General features: G+C 41.3%; 1 protein-coding gene across 3 annotated transcripts in view; it reads right to left on the reverse strand.

Annotated features, from left to right (window-relative positions):
• The window catches only part of PPM1H (protein phosphatase, Mg2+/Mn2+ dependent 1H), a 291,157-nt gene that overhangs the window by 170,834 nt on the left and 101,529 nt on the right, over positions 1–18,794 (reverse strand). For all 3 annotated transcript variants that reach the window (NM_020700.2, XM_011538578.3, XM_017019676.3), the window contains exon 2: positions 17,287–17,452. In NM_020700.2, the coding sequence (NP_065751.1) occupies positions 17,287–17,452 (166 nt within the window). The remainder of the gene's footprint in view (positions 1–17,286; positions 17,453–18,794) is intronic.

Raw genomic sequence — 18,794 nt, forward strand, 5'->3', positions numbered from 1 at the left:
TTGATCACTTCCCCTTGGGGAAACAGAGTTGCCATATTTTTCTGTTTCCCCACTATATATGTGATTATATGGTTTGATTTCCACAAACTTTCTGGCCAGTTTTCCAGGAATCTCAGTGAAGATGATAATGCACAGTCCAGAGTATCTGCTATAGGCATTCCATCCACAGGGCTTTCAATGTCCAGTTTTCCATCTGATCCTCACAGTACCACAGTGAAAGGGAGAAGAATAAGCCAATGAGGAGGTAGAGATGAGAAAACATTTGAGTGACTTCATGAAAGACCTTCCTAGGGCTCACGTTCTATTGCTGTCCACATGGAGCCATGACCCTACAGCGTTGTTCGCTTTTTACCATACCTCTTTTTTTTTGACTAAATTGTTCGGATACTCTGCTCTGCAGTGGAGGAAAAAAATCCCTTAATTTCATATACTTTAATGAATATGCTGCTTCCTTCTCAGGATATGACAATATGAATTGCAGGTTTCTTTGGTTCAATTCCTCCAACATAATGAGGCAGTAAGGTGCAGGATAGGTTTAGTAAGTTTGACTTTTGTTTTTAAATGGCAATTTAGACCTGTCTTAAAACATTAATTTATAAAAGGAAGTACAAAGTTTATAACGGTTTTTGCTAAATTGCATTGTGATTTATTCTAGAATCAACTCGAGAATATTCTTAAACTATTAGTTTATACATCAACAACTTCTCCCTAAATTAGTTTATGGAAAAAACATAAGTACTGTGAAATAATACTGAAGTGCAGTTGCCAATCCACTATTAGAAACAACAACAACAATAGATAATATTTATTGAGCACCTACCCCATGCACTATTCTAAGCACTTTTCATATTTTAACTCACTTCACTCTAATAAGCCTATGAAATAGTACCTGTTATAACCAATTTACAGATGGGAAAATTGAGGTATGGAGAAGCCGACTGACTTGCACAAGATAACACATCTAGTAAGGGGCAGAGGCAGGATTCAAACTCAGGTATTCATGCTTATCCAATCAGAGGGCTTTTTTTTCTTCCCATGGTTTATGCAAATGATGGTCTTTCTATAATTTAGCAAGAAAATGGACTATAAAGAGAAGATGATAATTTCATTTTAGCTCTGTTTTTCATCTTAGTAACAGCTATTACAGTTTCTGAGTTGACAGGGGACACTGCTAACTAACTCCCATATCAAAAGAGAAATCATAATGGAAATGAGAAAATATTTAGTGTCAAATTTTATTGAAATTATACATGTCAACATTAGGAGTTATTCTTCCTTGATGTCTGACTTTCTCAAAGAGATTTTCCTGCTCCATGTCTCAACTGCTAATGGATACAGAGGCAGCATGGTGTAAGTCTAGACACTGAGGCCAGACTGCCTGGGTCGAATCAAGATCTACACTTTCTAGCTCTGTGCCTCAGCTTCCTCACCAGTTAAAAAAGGCAATAATAATACATATTTATGCACATATTACAGTTTGGGCACTCCTAATCCAAAAGTCTGGAAAATGCTCTGAAATCCAAAACTTTTGAGCACGGACGTGACATCACAAGTGGAGAATTCTACACCTGATCTCAGTGGGTCATGGTAGAAACACAGGCACACTACATTTGGTTTATTTAGCAACCCCATGGAGAAATAAGACTACCTTCAGACTATGTGTGTAAGCTGCATACAAAACACTAATGAATTCTGTGTTTAAACTTGGGTCTCATTCCCAAGATATCTCATTATGTATATGCAAATAGTCCAAAATCTGAAAAAATCTGAAATCCAAAACACTTCTGGTTTCAAACATTTTGGATAAGGGATACTTAGCCTATATAAGGTTAAATAAATTAATACCAGCAAGGCACTAAAATCGGCGTCTGGTACACGAGTGCTGAGTATTATTTATGGTTTTGGTTTTTTTTTTTAGAAGAAATGAAAGAAGAAAATAAAGTTTATTGCCCTTGACAATGTTCTTCCCACTTAAAGCTGTGGGAAGTCAGATTATAAGTGAAGCAAGAAGAAATTTCCATCTCAACATGATTTATTTTCCTTGCACCTTACATTTTGCCACAGTGGGAAACTATAGTGAAACCATGTTGTGTTCTCAGCTACTATGTACATTTTGGTCAAACCTGGTCTTCAGAGTAATCCAACACCCACCAATAAGGGGCCTTTAAAGGGATTCTAGCTGACATCAGCCTCCTCAATTCCTGGTTTTAAAATCATCCATCTTAATCACTGGCAAGAGTTCTATGTCCCTAGAACTAAAAGAGTTTTGAAAGAAACCACTGCATTACTAAAAAAAAAAAAAAAAAAAAGAAAAAAAAAAAAACTAAAAAAAAGAAAAAAAAAAAAAAAAACTGGCCAGGCGCAGTGGTTCATGCCTATTATCCCAGCACTTTGGGAGGCTGAGGCGGGCAGATCATAAGGTCAGGAGATCCAGACCATCCTGGCTAACACGGTGAAACCCCGTCTCTACTAAAAATACAAAAAATTAGCCGGGCGTGGTGGCGGGCGCCTGTAGTCCCAGCTACCCAGGAGGCTGAGGCAGGAGAATGGCGTGAACCTGGCAGGCGGAGCTTGCAGTGAGCCAAGATAGCGCCACTGCACTCCAGTCTGGACAACAGAGAGAGACCCTGTCTCAAAAAAAAACAAACAAACAAACAAAAAAAAAACTAAGAAGAAAAGAAAATTCTTATTTTCTTCACATGTGCAGAACAAGGAACAAAATTTTAGCATAATAAAATGAGATGAATAAAAGGCTGCTCCTATTGCATTTTTATAGCTGACATCATTGCAGGGAGCCAACTGCCTGATGAGGGCGAAATATTCCAAAGGGCTGCTGTTGTAGAACCAGAAGCAACCTTCATTTCATGTTTCGGGGGTGAAAGAGTACTTCTTACAAAAACAGATAAAAAGAATGGCAAAACCTCAGTTCGGAAAGTTGAAATAGTCCCTTTCTCATGTTCCTTTTGCCTTTCCCTGCCCCATTTTGATCCTATTTGCCTGGAGTTCCCACAGTGCTGCCCCGTCCTCTGCTGAGAAAGATAATCAGCTTTCCTCTCCCCTGCTGATGGTCTTGGCCGAGATGCTGACACAGCCATCTCCTGTTATTGTAATTAGACACTGAACTAGCAGATACTGAAACCACACACTTTGATGTGTTTTGGCTAAATTAAACAACACAAGGGTGCTCCTAAGGAAGTAGACTTGGAATGCATGTGTTCAGAAGTCTAGTCTCAAGCCAAAAACAATCTGTTCGAAATAGGGAGTCAGACGTGGGCAAAAAAATTTCCTGGTTATGGCCACAATACCCTAAATATTTCCCACCCACGCATCTTATGTAAGTACACGCACTTCTTAACACTAGGTTATGACATGCCTTTCAGAGTGATCTCTTTCTCCTTCCACAGAGAAGTCACTTGGTACCCTCCTCCTCTTATCTCATTCCTGGAATGACTAAATATTTGGGAACTAAGAAGAAAAAGCTCTTGGAAAAGCTGTGTTTTCACCTGAGTATGGCAATCAGTATGATAAATAAAGACTCTTTATAACCTTCCAAGTCAAAGGAAAGAAGAGCTAGCAATGGTGATTCATGTGCACAAATCTTGAGCTGGTTAATTAAAAAGCCTTCTGTGGGAATCAGGAGGCCATTGGGAATAAGGTATTGTCCTCAACAAGCTTACAGCAGCTTTCCTAAGAGACAGTCTCATGAAAGTGTCTTTTGGAAGTGCTAGAATTGTAGATTTCCTTCTTTCCTGGCCACCCATCCTGTTTCCAAATCAGTTCTCAGAGGTAGGCATGTCAAGAGGCTTGCACATTGCCAAAGAGTATCTATTTGCTATTTGCCAGACTGTGGGCTTATAGCTCTTCACATTAAGCTACCCAAAAATGATCCAGGCACAAGAAAAGTTCCACCTTCATTTGTCATTGAGAACGCCCTTCTCTACTATACTACATACCTGCTTCATCAAATATCTCAAAATGTTGCTTTTTCTTTTTCTTTTTTTTTTTTTTTTTGAGATGGAGTCTCACTCAGTTGCCCAGGCTGGAGTGCAGTGGTGTGATCTTGGCCCACTGTAACCTCCACCTCCTGGGTTCAAGCAATTCTCCTGCCTCAGACTCCCAAGAAGCTGGGAATACAGGCATATGCCACCAAGCCCAGCTAATTTTTTGTGTTTCAGTAGAGACGGGGTTTCACTGTTTTGCCCAGGCTAGTTGCGAACTCCTGAGCTCAGGGAATCCACCTTGCCTCGGCCTCCAAAAGTGCTGGGAGTACAGGCGTGAGCCACTGCGCCGGCCAAAACATTGCTTTTTTTTTTTTTTTTTTGAGATGGAGTCTCACTCTGTCGCCAGGCTGGAGTGCAGTGGCGTGATCTCAGCTCACTGCAACCTCTGCCCTCCAAGTTAAAGTGATTCTCCTGCCTCAGCCTCCCGAGTAACTGGCATTACAGGCGCCTGCCACTGCACCCGGCTAATTTTTTGTATTTTTAGTAAAGATGGGTTCACCTTCTTGGCCAGGCTTGTCTTGAACTCCTGAACTCATGATCCACCTGCCTCGGCCTCCCAAAGTGCTGGGATTACAGGCGTGAGCCACCGTACCTGGCCAAACATTGCTTTCTTAACCCCAAAGGAGAAATGTTTATTGTTTCTGTATTATAAGTTATATCACTAAACTCTTAATTAAAAGACAAAACAGAACAAAACCTAGATCCATTCAAGAGTGTTGGAGATGGAGACTAGAAAACTTCAACCACATCCCCTTACATTTCTTCAGGCTAAAATACTACAGTGCAGAACACCTTAAAACATTTAAATTTGTGTGCCTTTTAAGTTTGTTTTGTTGTTGTTGTTGTTGTTTTACTTATTTCAAACATTGCTTCTTTAGCTCCTGACTTTTTACTTATATGCAGATGAAACCCGAAATTAATTTGTATTTTATTTCTTTTAAGTCAGGTGCCACTGTCAAGAGCTCAAACACGAGTCGGTTCCAAGATGGCCGAATGGAAACAGCTCTGGTGTGCAGCTCCCAGTGGGATTGATGCAGAAGACAGTGATTTCTGCATTTCGAACTGAGGTACCTGGTTCATCTCATTGGGACTGGTTGGACAGTGAGTGCAGCCCAAAGAGGGCGAGCCGAAGCAGGGTGGGGCATTGCCTCACCTGGGAAGCGCAAGGGGTCGGGGAATTCCCTTTCCCAGCCAAGGGAATCCATGGCAGATTGTACCTGGAAAATCAGGACACTCCCGCCCAAATACTGCGCTTTTCCAATGGCCTTAGCAAATGGCACCTGGCTTAGCAGGTCCCACACCTAAGAAGCCTTGCTCACTGCTAGCGCAGCAGTCTGAGATCAACCGGTGAGGCAGCAGCCTAGTAGGGGGAGAGGCGTCTGCCACTGCTGAAGCTTGAGTAGGTAAACAAAGCGGCTGGGGAAGCTCGAACTGGGCAGAGCCCACCACAGCTCTGCAAGGCCTGCTGCCTCTGTAGACCCCACCTCTGAGGGCAGGGCGTAGATGAACAAAAGGCAGCAGAAACTTCTGCAACTTAAAAGTCCCTGTCTATGAAGAGAGTAGTGGTTCTCCCAGCACAGAGTTTGAGATCTGAGAATGGACAGACTGCCTCCTCAAGTGGGTCCCTGAACCCCGAGTAGCCTAACTGGGAGGCACCTCCCATTAGGGGCCGACTGACACCTCATACGGCTGGGTGCCCCTCTGAGACAAAGCTTCCAGAGGAACGATCAGGCAGCAACATTTGCCGTTCTGCAATATTGCGGTTCTGCAGCCTCCGCTGGTGATACCTAAGCAAATAGGGTCTGGAGTGGAACTCCAGGAAACTCCAACAGACCTGCAGCTGAGGAACCTGACTCTTAGAAGGAAAACTAACAAACAGAAAGGAATAGCATCAGCATCAACAAAAAGGACATCCACACCAACACCCCATCTGTAGGTCACTAGCATCAAAGACCAAAGGTAGATAAAACCACAAAGATGGGGAGGAACCAGAGCAGAAAAGCTGAAAATTCTAAAAACCAGAGCACCTCTTCTCCTCCAAAGGATCACAGCTCCTCTCCAGCAACGGAACAAAGCTGGATGGAGAATGACTTTGACAAGCTGACAGAAGTAGGCTTCAGGAGGTCGGTAATAACAAACTTCTCCAAGCTAAAGGAGGATGCTCGAACCCATTGCAAAGAAGCTAAAAACCTTGAAAAAAGATCAGATGAATGGCTAACTAGAATAAACAGTGTAGAGAAGACCTTAAATGACCTGATGGAGCTGAAAACCGTGGCAAGAGAACTACGTAACGCATGCACAAGCTTCGATAGCCAATTCGATCAAGTGGAAGAAAGGGTATCAGTGATGGAAGATCAAATTAATGAAACAAAGTGAGAGGAGAAGTTTAGAGAAAAAAAAGTAAAAAGAAATGAACAAAGCCTCCAAGAAATATGGGACTATGTGAAAGACCAAATCTACATTTGTTTGGTGTACCTGAAAGTGACAGGGAGAATGGAAACAAGTTGGAAAACACTCTGCCAGGATATGATCCAGGAGAACTTCCCCAGCCTAGCAAGGCAGGCCAACATTAAAATTCAGGAAATACAGAGACCACCACAAAGATACTCCTCAAGAAGAGCAACCCCAAGACACATTAATTGTCAGATTCACCAAGGTTGAAATGAAGGAAAAAATGTTAAGGGCAGCCAGAGAGAAAGGTCGGGTTACCTGCAAAGGGAAGCCCATCAAACTAACAGTGGATTTCTCGGCAGAAACTCTACAAGCCAGAAGAGAGTGGGGGCCAATATTCAACATTCTTAAAGAACCCAGAATTTCATATCCAGCCAAACTAAGCTTCATAAGTGAAGGAGAAATAAAATCCTTTACAGACAAGCAAATGCTGAGAGATTTTGTTACCACCAGGCCTGCCTTACAAGAGCTCCTGAAGGAAGCACTAAACATGGAAAGGAACAACTGGTACCAGCCACTGCAAAAACATGCCAAATTGTAAAGACCTTCGGTGCTAGGAAGAAACTGCATCAACTAATGGGCAAAATAACCAGCTAACATCCTAATGACAGGATCACATTCACACATATTAACCTTGAATGTGAATGGGCTAAATGCCCCAATTAAAAGACACAGACTGGCAAACTGGATAAAGAGTCAAGACCCATCAGTGTGCTGTATTCAGGAAACCCATCTCATGTGCAGAGACATACATAGGCTCAAAATAAAGGTATGCAGGAAGATCTACCAAGCAAATGGAAAGCAAAAAAAAAGCAGGGTTGCAATCCTAGTCTCTGATAAAACAGACTTTAAACCAAAGAAGATCAGAAGAGACAAAGAAGGCCATTACATAATGGTAAAGGGATCAATTCAACAAGAAGAGCTAACTGTCCTAAATATATATGCACCCAATACAGGAGCACCCAGATTCATAAAGCAAGTCCTTAGGGACCTACAAAGAGACTTAGACTCCCACACAATAATAATGGGAGACTTTAACACCCCACTGTCAATATTAGATCAATGAGACAGAAGGTTAACAACGATATCCAGGACTTGAACTCAGCTCTGCACCAAGAGGACGTGACAGACATCTACAGAACTCTCCACCCCAAATCAACAGACTATACATTCTTCTCAGCACCACATAGCACTTATTCCAAAAGAGTTGGAAGTAAAGCAGTCCTTAACAAATGTAAAAGAACAGAAATCACAACAAACTGTCTCTCAGACCACAATGCAATCAAATTAGAACTCAGGATTAAGAAACTCACTCAAAACCGCTCAACTACATGGAAACTGAACAACCTGCTCCTGAATGACTACTGGGTACATAATGAAATGAAGGCAGAAATAAAGATGTTCTTTGAAACCAACGAGAACAAAGACACAACGTACCAGAATCTCTGGGACACACTTAAAGCAGTGTGTAGAGGGAAATTTATAGCACTAAATGCACACAAGAGAAAGCAGAAAACATCTAAAATTGACACCCTAACATCACAATTAAAAGAACTAGAGAAGCAAGAGCAAACACATTCAAAAGCTAGCAGAAGGCAAGAAATAACTAAGATCAGAACAAAACTGAAGGAGATAGAGACACAAAAAACCCTTCAAAAAAATCAATAAATTCAGGAGCTGGTTTTTTGAAAAGTTCAACAGAATTGATAGACTGCTAGCAAGACTAATAAAAAAGAAAAGAGAGAAGAATCAAATAGATGCAATAAAAAATGATAAAGGGGATATCACCACCAATCCCACAGAAATACAAACTACCATCAGAGAATACTATAAACACCTCTACACAAATAAACTAGAAAATATAGAAAAATGGATAAATTCCGGGACACATACACCCTCCCAAGACTAAATTGGGAAGAAGTTGACTCTCTGAATAGACCAATAACAGGCTCTGAAATTGAGGCAATAATTAACATCCTACCAACCAAAGAAAGTCCAGAACCAGACGGATTCACAGCCAAATTCTACCAGAGGTACAAAGAGGAGCTGGTACCATTCCTTCTGAAACTATTCCAATCAATAGAAAAAGAGGGAATTCTTCCTAACTAATTTTATGAGGCCAGCATCATCCTGATACCAAAGCCTGGCAGAGAGAGACACAACAAAAAAAGAGCATTTTAGACCAATATTCCTGATGAACATCGATGCAAAAATCCTCAATAAAATACTGGCAAACTGAATCCAGCAGCTCATCAAAAAGCTTATCCACCATGATCAAGTCAGCTTCATCCCTGGGATGCAAGGCTTGTTCAACATACCCAAATCAATAAACATAATCCATCACATAAACAGAACCAATGACAAAAACCACATGATTATCTCAATAGATGCAGAAAAGGCCTTTGACAAAATTCAACAGCCCTTCATGCTAAAAACTCTCAATAAACCAGGTATCGATGTAACTTATCTCAAAATAATAGGAGCTATTTATGACAAACCCACAGCCAATATCATACTGAATGGGCAAAAACTGGAAGCATTCCCTTTGAAAACTGGCACAAGACAGGGATGCCCTCTCTCACCACTCCTATTTCAACATAGTGTTGGTAGTTCTGGCCAGGGCAATCAGGCAAGAGAAAGAAATAAAGGGAATTCGATTAGGAAATGAGGAAGTCAAATTGTCCCTGTTTGCAGATGACATGATTGTATATCTAGAAAACCCCATCTTCTCAGCCCAAAATCTCCTTAAGCTGATAGGCAACTTCAGCAAAGTCTCAGGATACAAAATCAATGTACAAAAATCACAAGCATTCTTATACACCAATAACAGACAAACAGAGAGCCAAATCATGAGTGAACTCCCATTCACAATTGCTACAAAGAGAATAAAATACCTAGGAATCCAACTTACAAGGGATGTGAAGGGCCTCTTCAAGGAAAACTACAAACCACTGCTCAATGAAATAAAAGAGGACACAAACAAATGGAAGAACATTCCATGCTCATGGATAGGAAGAATCAATGTTGTGAAAATGGCCATACTGCCCAAAGTAATTTATAGATTCAATGCCATCCCCATCAAGCTATCAATGACTTTCTTCACAGAATTGGAAAAAACTACTTTAGAGTTCATATGGAACCAAAATAGAGCCCACATTGCCAAGACAATCCTAAGCAAAAAGAACAAAGCTGGAGGCATCACGCTACCTGACTTCAAACTATACTACAAGGCTACAGTAACCAAAACAGCATGGTACTGGTACCAAAACAGAGAGGCAGACCAATGAAACAGAACAGAACCCTCAGAAATAACAACACACATCTACAACCATCTGATCTTTGACAAACCTGACAAAAACAAGAAATGGGGAAAGGATTCCCTATTTAATAAATGGTGCTGCGAAAACTGGCTAGCCATATGTAGAAAGCTGAAACTGGATCCCTTCCTTACACCTTATACAAAAATTAATTGAAGATGGATTAAAGACTTAAATGTTAGACCCAAAATCATAAAAAGCCTAGAAGAAAACCTAGGCAATACCATTCAGGACATAGGCATGGGCAAGGACTTCATGACTAAAACACCAAAAGCAATGGCAACAAAAGCCAAAATAGACAAATGGAATCTAATCAAACTGAAGAGCTTTTGCACAGCAAAAGAAACTACCATCAGAGTGAACAGACAACCTACAGAATGGGAGAAATTTTTGCAATCTACCCAGTTGACAAAGGGCTAATATCCAGAATCTACAAAGAAACAAATTTACAAGGAAAAAAAAAATCAAAAAGTGGGCAAAGGATATGAACTGACACTTCTTAAAAGAAGACATTTATGCAGCCAACACACACATGAAAAAAATCCTCATCATCACTGGTCATCAGAGAAATACAAATCAGAACCACAATGAGATACCATCTCACACCAGTTAGAGAGGCGATTAAAAAGTCAGGAAACAACAGATGCTGGAGAGGTTGTGGAGAAATAGGAATGCTTTTACACTGTTGGGAGTGTAAACTAGTTCAACCATTGTGGAAGACAGTGTGGTGATTCCTCAGTGATCTAGAACTAGAAATATCATTTGACCCAGCCATCCCATTACCGGGTATATACCCAAAGGGTTATAAATCATGCTACCGTAAAGACACATGCACACGTATGTTTATTGCAGCACTATTCACAATAGCAAAAACTTGGAACCAATCCAAATGTCCATCAGTGATAGACTGGATTAAGAAAATGTGGCACATATATACCACAGAATACTATGCAGCTATAAAAACAGATGAGTTCATGTCCTTTGCAGGGACATGGATGAAACTGGAAACCATCATTCTGAGCAAACTATCACAAGGACAGAAAACCAAACATCATATGTTCTCACTCATAGGTGGGAGTTGAACAATAAGAACACTTGGACACAGGGTGGGGAACATCACACACAGGGGCCTGTCGCGGAGTGTGGAGCAGGGGGAGGGATAGCATTAGGAGAAATACCTAATGAAAATGATGAGTTAATGGGTGCAGCAAACCAACATGGCACACATATACCTACGTAACAAACCTGCATATTGTGCGCATGTACCCTAGAACTTAAAGTATAATAAAAAAAAAATAATAAAATGCCAAATTACCACCAATTACAATTAAAAAAAAAGAGCTCAAACACAGGAAATGACATTCCTTCAGTAAATGCCTCATGGAAGCTGGGAGAGGCAGAAAACAGTTATATTATTTTCTCTACCAAAAAAAATGTGTTTAAGGTTTGCTTTAAAATGGGAGGCTGAAAAGGATAAAATAATTCTTTATGAATTGGTATTTGGGATGGCTAAGAGTTGTCTTTAAATCTTAACACCAATTCATTATTATCTGTAGTAGAAAAGGTCATCTCGCTGGGTGCAGTGGCTCACGTCTGTAATCCCAACACTTCAGGAGCCTGAGGTGGGCAGATCCCCTGAGGTCAGAAGTTCAAGACCAGCCTGGCCAACATGGCGAAACCCTGTCTCTACTAAAAATACAAAAATAGCCAGGTATGGTGGTGCTTGCCGGTAATCCCAGCTACTCAGGAGGATGAGGCAAGAGAAGAGCTTGAACCTGGGAGGCAAAGGTTGCAGTGAGCTGAGATTATGCCACTGCACTCCAGCCTGGGCGACAGAGTGAGACTTCATCTCAAAAAAAGAAGTCATCTCGTTGCTACCCGGCTACCATATTGCCACTCAATATAAGAAAGGTCATGAAATATAAAGTCACACTTCTATTGAAATCCTCTGTACATCACTGATGTTTCTAACAAATAAAAAATTCCTATAATACTGTTTTCATTGTAAATTTCATGTTATTTTATTAAAAATTTTAGGTTTTCTTTAACCTCCAAGGAAGGTGAAGATATATTATACATGAAAGAAATCTTTTGAAAACACATATTTTGACTTTACTAAATTTACAGGGGACAAAAGAGGTCAAGAAAGGAGGGAGAAATTAAGCATATGTATTCCAGAGGGACTTCATGCATCTTCGGTTTGCCATCCTTCATGCCTGTCAACTCTGTTTGCAGATAAAACCATGATGCCATTATTTATCCTGTTGTTCCATTTTTTGCTTATAACATTATATGTCCACTTTTCCCATCCTTATCTTTCTTATCACTGTGTGGCCCATGCCATAGATACCTTCCCTCTTCACAGTACCCCTCTCTTCTTGGAGCTTCTAGAACCCCACTGTCATCATGTTTCTGTTACACACTTTTATACCTTCTGTGTCACCTAAGCCACTTCTATGGCTGCAACTATAATTTTCAATCTTGTAACTCCTTAAATCTAAGCCTCCTTAGGCTTGTGTGTGAGCTCCAAACCCTTATTTCTAATTTCCTACAAAACACTTTCACCTGGAAAGGTAGAATCAGAATCAGTATACTCAAAACGCAAGTCATCATCTCTGCCCATCCCCTTACCATCCAGTGGTCCACTTTTCAGTGACCAGCACCTAGTGGCTGAGCCTGGTACCTTCATCTTCTCCCTGTTCCAAGCAGTTGGTCATTTGCTCACCTTAACTGTATCTCTCATTTAATCTCTTCTGAGCCTGTCCCTTGCACTGATCAGTGCCTTATTTTAAGCCGTTATCATTTCTCACCCATATTTCTGCATGAGCCTCCTAACTAGCATCCCAGCCTCTAGGTTTGGACTCCTGGCCTTCCCAAGTCAGCCTTCCCACTGCCATCACTGTCTTGAGTCATCTTGCCCTTGTCTAAAATACTTTGGTAAAAATCCCAGCTTATTATGGTGTATGATGACCCTTGTGATGCCTGCTTACTCTTCCTGTCTTGCCAACCCTCCAAGAGACCATATATTTTCCAAAACACAGGAAGACATGCCTCATGTGCTCTCATGCCAACCTGTCTTTGCCTATACATGTTCCTTCTATAAGAAACCCCCATTTCTTTTGTTAGCTCGCTTTACTTCTATTCACTTTCCAAGATCCCAGCTCTAATGTCAATTTCTCAAGGAAGGCTTTCCTAACCTTACCCATCCCCTTCTCCTTGGTTGTTCCCCAAATCATCAGTGACCAAAATGAGTCAGACTTCCCTACAACCTGGGCTTTTCATCTGTCTCTGAAAACTCACTCCATTGTAGTACCACTGCCAGTGATCTCCCCAATCGACTCAGCATTAGGAGGATGGGAACTATGTTGTGTTTTGTCTCCTTATCCCAAAGCTCAGCATGCAGACTCAGAGTTCAATATGTTCAGTGGGTGAGGGAACAGGAAGGGTGGGTACAATCCGCTTTACTTATCTCTGTGGATGTTTTCTTGCCCTAAGCCCTGTACTATCACCATCCTTTCCTAAGTGCTACCATATTTGAGTTTTACCATTAAGGGCATGTCTTCTAGATGGGAAAAATCACTGGCCTCTTTTAACCAGTGTGTCCAGTGTCCTCTGCTAGTAAATTATAGAAGTGGAAGCCAAAGTCTTGACAGTGACCTTCAATGTCCTTCCCGACTGGCTCACTCCACTCCTATGACTTTTCTGACAACATTTCCTGCAATCCAGGCTTTACAGTATTTCTGCTCCAACCACACAGACCTCCTTCCTAAACCCTGAGAACATAGGGCCGGCTCCCACCTTGGTGTCTTTCAATTGTCCAGAACGATAAATGCTCTTCCTTCAAATAGCTGCAATTTCAGATCTTTGCCCAAATGTCACCTTCTCAGTGATGCCTTCATTAACTACCCCGGCACCCTCAGACTTCCTATATTCTGGGTTCCCCACTTTGTTTTGTATCTCCATAGTGTCTATCATCTGGCACACTATATTTTGTCTCCCTCTACGAATGGAAGCTCCCTCTAAGTAGGGATTTTGTCTATTTCATTCCCTGCCAAATCTCCAGCATCCAGTTCTCAGTACATAGCAGGTGCTCAGTGATTTATCTTCCTCACTAGGTAATGGTTTTCAAATTTTTAAAAAGCAGCACAAACAAAAATAACAACAGAACAGACAACCCAATTTTTAAAATGGGCAAAGGACTTGAATAGACATTTCTCTGAAGAACATATACAAAGGTCCAATAATGAAAAAATGCTCAACATCACTAATCATTAGGGAAATGCAAACCAAAAGTACAGTGAAATACTACCTCATACCCATTAGAATGATTACTATTAAAAAAAGAAAACAGAAAGCAAGTGCTGGTGAAGACGTGGAGAAATAGGAACCCCTCTCCATTGTTGGTAGGAACGTAAAATGGAGCAGCCACTGTGAAAAACGGTGGTAGTCCCTCAAAAAATTAAACAGAATTATCACATAATTCATCAAATCCTCCTCTAGATATATAGCCAAAAGAATTGAAAGCAGGGACTCAAAGAGATATTTGTTCACCTATGTTCACGACAGCATTATTCAGAATAGCTGAAAGGTAAAAAATTCTGGCTCACATTACAACATGGGTAAAACCTTGAGAACATTATGCTAAGTGAAATAAGCCAGGCACAAAAGGACAAATAGTGTATGATTCTACTTATGTGAGGTACCTGCAGTGGTCAACTCAGAGACAGGAAATAGAATGGTGGGCACCAAGGGAGGAAAGAATGGAGAGTTAGTGTTTAATGAATACATAGTTTCAGCCTGAGAACCTGAAAAAGTTCTGGAGATGATGAGGGTGATGGTTGTACAAACATGTGAATATACGTAATGCCACTGAACTATATGCCTAAAATTGGTAAATTTTATGTTATGTACATTTTACCACAATTTAAAAAAAGGAAAAGAAGCTCAACTCTTGTCTTAAACTCAGTAAGAAGCCTAATAGGTAAAGCAGACAGAAATGAAGCTGCTGTGGTCGGAGCAGGACTGGGGCACCAGGGTGTCTCCACTCTGCTGGTCCCTTGCTCTTGAAGGACGGACCCCACAGATATTGGGAACCACCACAGGGGAGGGCCACAGCTCCATCCCAAAGTGCTTATGCACCAGTTTCACTGTTCTTAAGGACAAGAAGTTAAAAAGTCACCCCAGCTCCATTTCTAGAAGGAACTCAGTAAAAAGGAAAAATGCCATCACCAACTGGCCTTGGGCCATATGTCAACACTGACTGATTTTTACAGAGATCACTTTATATCCCAGGGGCAGGGGGAAAATATCAGTGGAAAGAGCAACACTAAGTCACTGGCGCCCCTATTCAATGATCATGAACACTTCACGCTTTCCAAGCCCTTTCCCATAATAACAATCCTCAAAACAATCCTGTCGAGTAGGTATGAAAGGAATTGTGTAATCTCTAATTCACAAGTGAAGAAACATGCAAACTTCACTCATAGAGAATAACGAAGTGGGACTAACCTCAGGATAATAATCACTAACGCTTATTACAGATTTATTAAGACACATGCTCAACATTTTCCACGGACTACTGGAGTTCATATTTCCAATCAGCCTCCTTCTACCATTTGGTAGTTACTGCTGTTATTCCTTTATATTTTATTTATTTATTTATTTATTTAATTTTTTTGAGACGGAGTCTCGCTCTGTCACCCAGGCTGGAGTGCAGTGGCGTGATCTCAGCTCACTGCAAGCTCTGCCTCCTGGGTTCACGCCATTCTTCTGCCTCAGCCTCCTGAGTAGCTGGGACTACAGGCACCCGCCACCATGCCCGGCTAATTTTTTGTATTTTTAGTAGAGACAGGGTGTCACTGTGTTAGCCAGGATGGTCTCGATCTCCTGACCTCGTGATCTGCCCGCCTTGGCCTCCCAAAGTGCTGGGATTACAGGCGTGAGCCACCGCACCCAGCCTGTTATTCCTTTTTAGAGTAGACAAAACTGAGGCTCAAAGAATAACCATCCCAAAATTAAGTAGCTAAAGTGGTAGACTGCACAGTCATCTCACTCCAGGGCCTGGGCACTTAACCATCACCATTCTATACTGCCCATCTGGGTCCTCAGCTCTGGTTGTTTGGAAAAGGCCTTCCTTCAACCTAGAAAATATGTACAATTGATAAATCCCCGTAAGTCAACTTTAAATTAAACTAGGACTAACAAAATAAATCAATACTTATCAATCCCTGAGCATAGACGCAATGAAACACTATTTCTTTTTCTTTTTCTCTTTTTGAGATGGAGTCTGCACTGTCGCCCAGGCTGGAGTGCAGTGGCGTGATCTCAGCTCACTGCAAGCTCTGCCTCCTGGGTTCACGCCATTCTCCTGCCTCAGCCTCCTGAGTAGCTGGGATTACAGGCGCCCGCCACCATGCCCAGCTAATTTTTTGTATTTTTAGTAGAGATGGGGTTTCACCATGTTAGCCAGGATGGTCTGGATCTCCTGACCTCATGATCCGCCTGTCTCGGCCTCCCAAAGTGCTGGGATTACAGGCGTGAGCCACCATGCCCAGCCGCAATGAGATACTATTTCTAAAACTAAGAAAAGATTCCTAGATCTTTTAAAATCCTATGAAAATTTTTACACAAAAATATCCTCAAGATGATCAGAATGAATAGTCACATTTGGGTCAGTCCATTCTGTGTCTCCTGATTTTCCCAGGAAACATCTCTCTCTAAAGCACATCATCTGCTGGCAGACAGAGTGTCAATGACTCCCCGTCCTTTGCTGAGAGCTTCTTCAGAGCTTTCTGAGGATATGACTGCTTTATTCCCCAGAAACTGGAGACAGGATAAATATTTTGTGGTTTTTCAACAGTGTTCAGTCTGCAAGGCCACCCCATGGGCTGCAAGAGTTTTGGGCCAATTGAAATAGATATTTATTTGGAAGAACATCAGGCACAGGCTGCAAATGGATCATGAGCAGGCAAGGAGGAGAAAGGGGCAGAGTCATGGCAGGGCTCAAAGCAACAGCCAGAGTTACTTCCACCCCTCATGAGAGGCTTTCGGACTATTTCCTTACAAAGACCTAGAAGTGGCTCCTTTGAAACCGTCAAACATTGTGTGTGTATGTGTGTGTGTGTGTGTGTGTGAGTGTGTGTGTATACGTATATATATTCGTGTATATATATATACACACATATATATACGTATACACACACACACACATATATATGTGTATATATATATATGCACACACATAAATATATCAATTATTGCAACAAGAGCTAGATACATATGGTGTGGGTGTTTCATTTACTTTGTGTTAAAAACCTAACCACAAGCTGGTCATACATGTGTCGCCTTCAGCTTGGTATGTGTGATGTCGTGACGATAGGCCCGCCACCCCACTAACTCTGGGGACACTGCTTTCTCACTTCCATTCCAGATTTAGGTGAAGCCCTAATGTCTTCCAGTGGGACCAAAGTGTGTGCCATTCTTCTCACCTGAGAACCAAGGATCGAGAAGGGTCTTACCGAGTTCTCCTTCAGCTGCAGCCCTTCCCCATTGGGAAGGGAGGACCGTCTCTTGGATGAGTTCCTGTTTGGGGTTGAGGTCACGGCCCCTGCCTTCTTCTTCACAGTGAGCACCTCACAGCTGGCTTGGTCTTCATTGTGTGTGCTCTTCCCGGCATTGATAACCCTGGAGAAGAAGCCGGAAAAGCTGGTCAGACAGACCGATAAAGCTGAGGGCACAGTCCCTTGTCAAGGGTCAGCCAAGACAGTCTCTACAACTGGCCCAGAACTACAGCCCTGCTTAATGCTAAGAACATTATGGTCTTGGTATTTTATGTTCCCAAATAAATGAAAATTTTTTAATGGCATTATGTTAGCACCCATTAAAATATTTACTAAAGAAGTTGTTTTGAGACCTGTTCACCCACAGGTGTCTGATAGATGTGATCAAATACACTAATCCATTTTAGTCAAAACACATGAGGCAATCACTCTTTCAGGTTAAGGAACCTGAATGTTTCGGCAATTACAATGAAGACAGATAATCTGACTCAGGGAATTCTGTTTCACTTCTCCAAGTGATAAACAGCAAAACCACCATCAATCTTATCAAGGTACATGGCAGTAACTTACAGCATGTCGTAAAAATCCAAGAGAACAGAGAACCATATTTCACTACGGCCATACCCCCCCATTTTTGCTTTACACAAAGGCAAGCAAATGGGTCAAAGGTTTACTCTTTTAAAACTATTTTTAACTCTTGGTCTTTTTTCATGTAGAATAATACTCATCACACTGGGCTATAGGCACTCTGATTTGGACACCAAGACACATAATAATAAGGCATGTTGACACTGCTTTGCTCGAATTACTACATGTTTTAAGCATAGAAATGCTTCAGGAAAACATGCTGCATCATTCATGCACCTTTTTCTCTATCAGGTGACTATAGACTCAACTCTTGGGTTTCCGCACCGCTTTCTTCTTAAGTAATTAAGCAGCAGCTAAAACAGATTCCCTTAAAGAGTTCTCCTTGATCTGCCACTGGCTGCGTTTCCTTTCTAAAGCTTCAACAGTGTCACAGTCCTGACAGAGTGAGTGTGGAGTTTATGGAACTCAGTAGCAAGGAAAGAAAAGGTGTGTTTTTTCTTTTTAAGGTAAGCTAAATAAAAATTAGCTCTATAAGTGTGGTGTGTACACTGCTCTATTGATTGAGTTGCACAGCCTCCTAACAGTTCAAAATCATTATTTTCAAATGACTTTTTAAAAACCTTTTCATTCTACAATAATTATAGGCTCAGAGTAAATTGCAAAAATAGTACAGAGTCCCATGTAGCTTTTGACCAATTCCCCAAACGGTAACATCTTATATAAGACAGTACAATATCAAAACTGAGAAAATGACATTGATACAATACTCTCACCCAGACTCCTGACCTTATTCAAATTTCACCATTTCTTACATCAAATAGCTTTTAGTACTAAAAATGGTATCAATTTCCATAAGCCAACACACACATGCCACAACC

Source organism: Homo sapiens, chromosome 12 (assembly GCF_000001405.40).
Source record: "Homo sapiens chromosome 12, GRCh38.p14 Primary Assembly".
NCBI classification, from domain to species: Eukaryota; Metazoa; Chordata; class Mammalia; order Primates; family Hominidae; genus Homo; species Homo sapiens.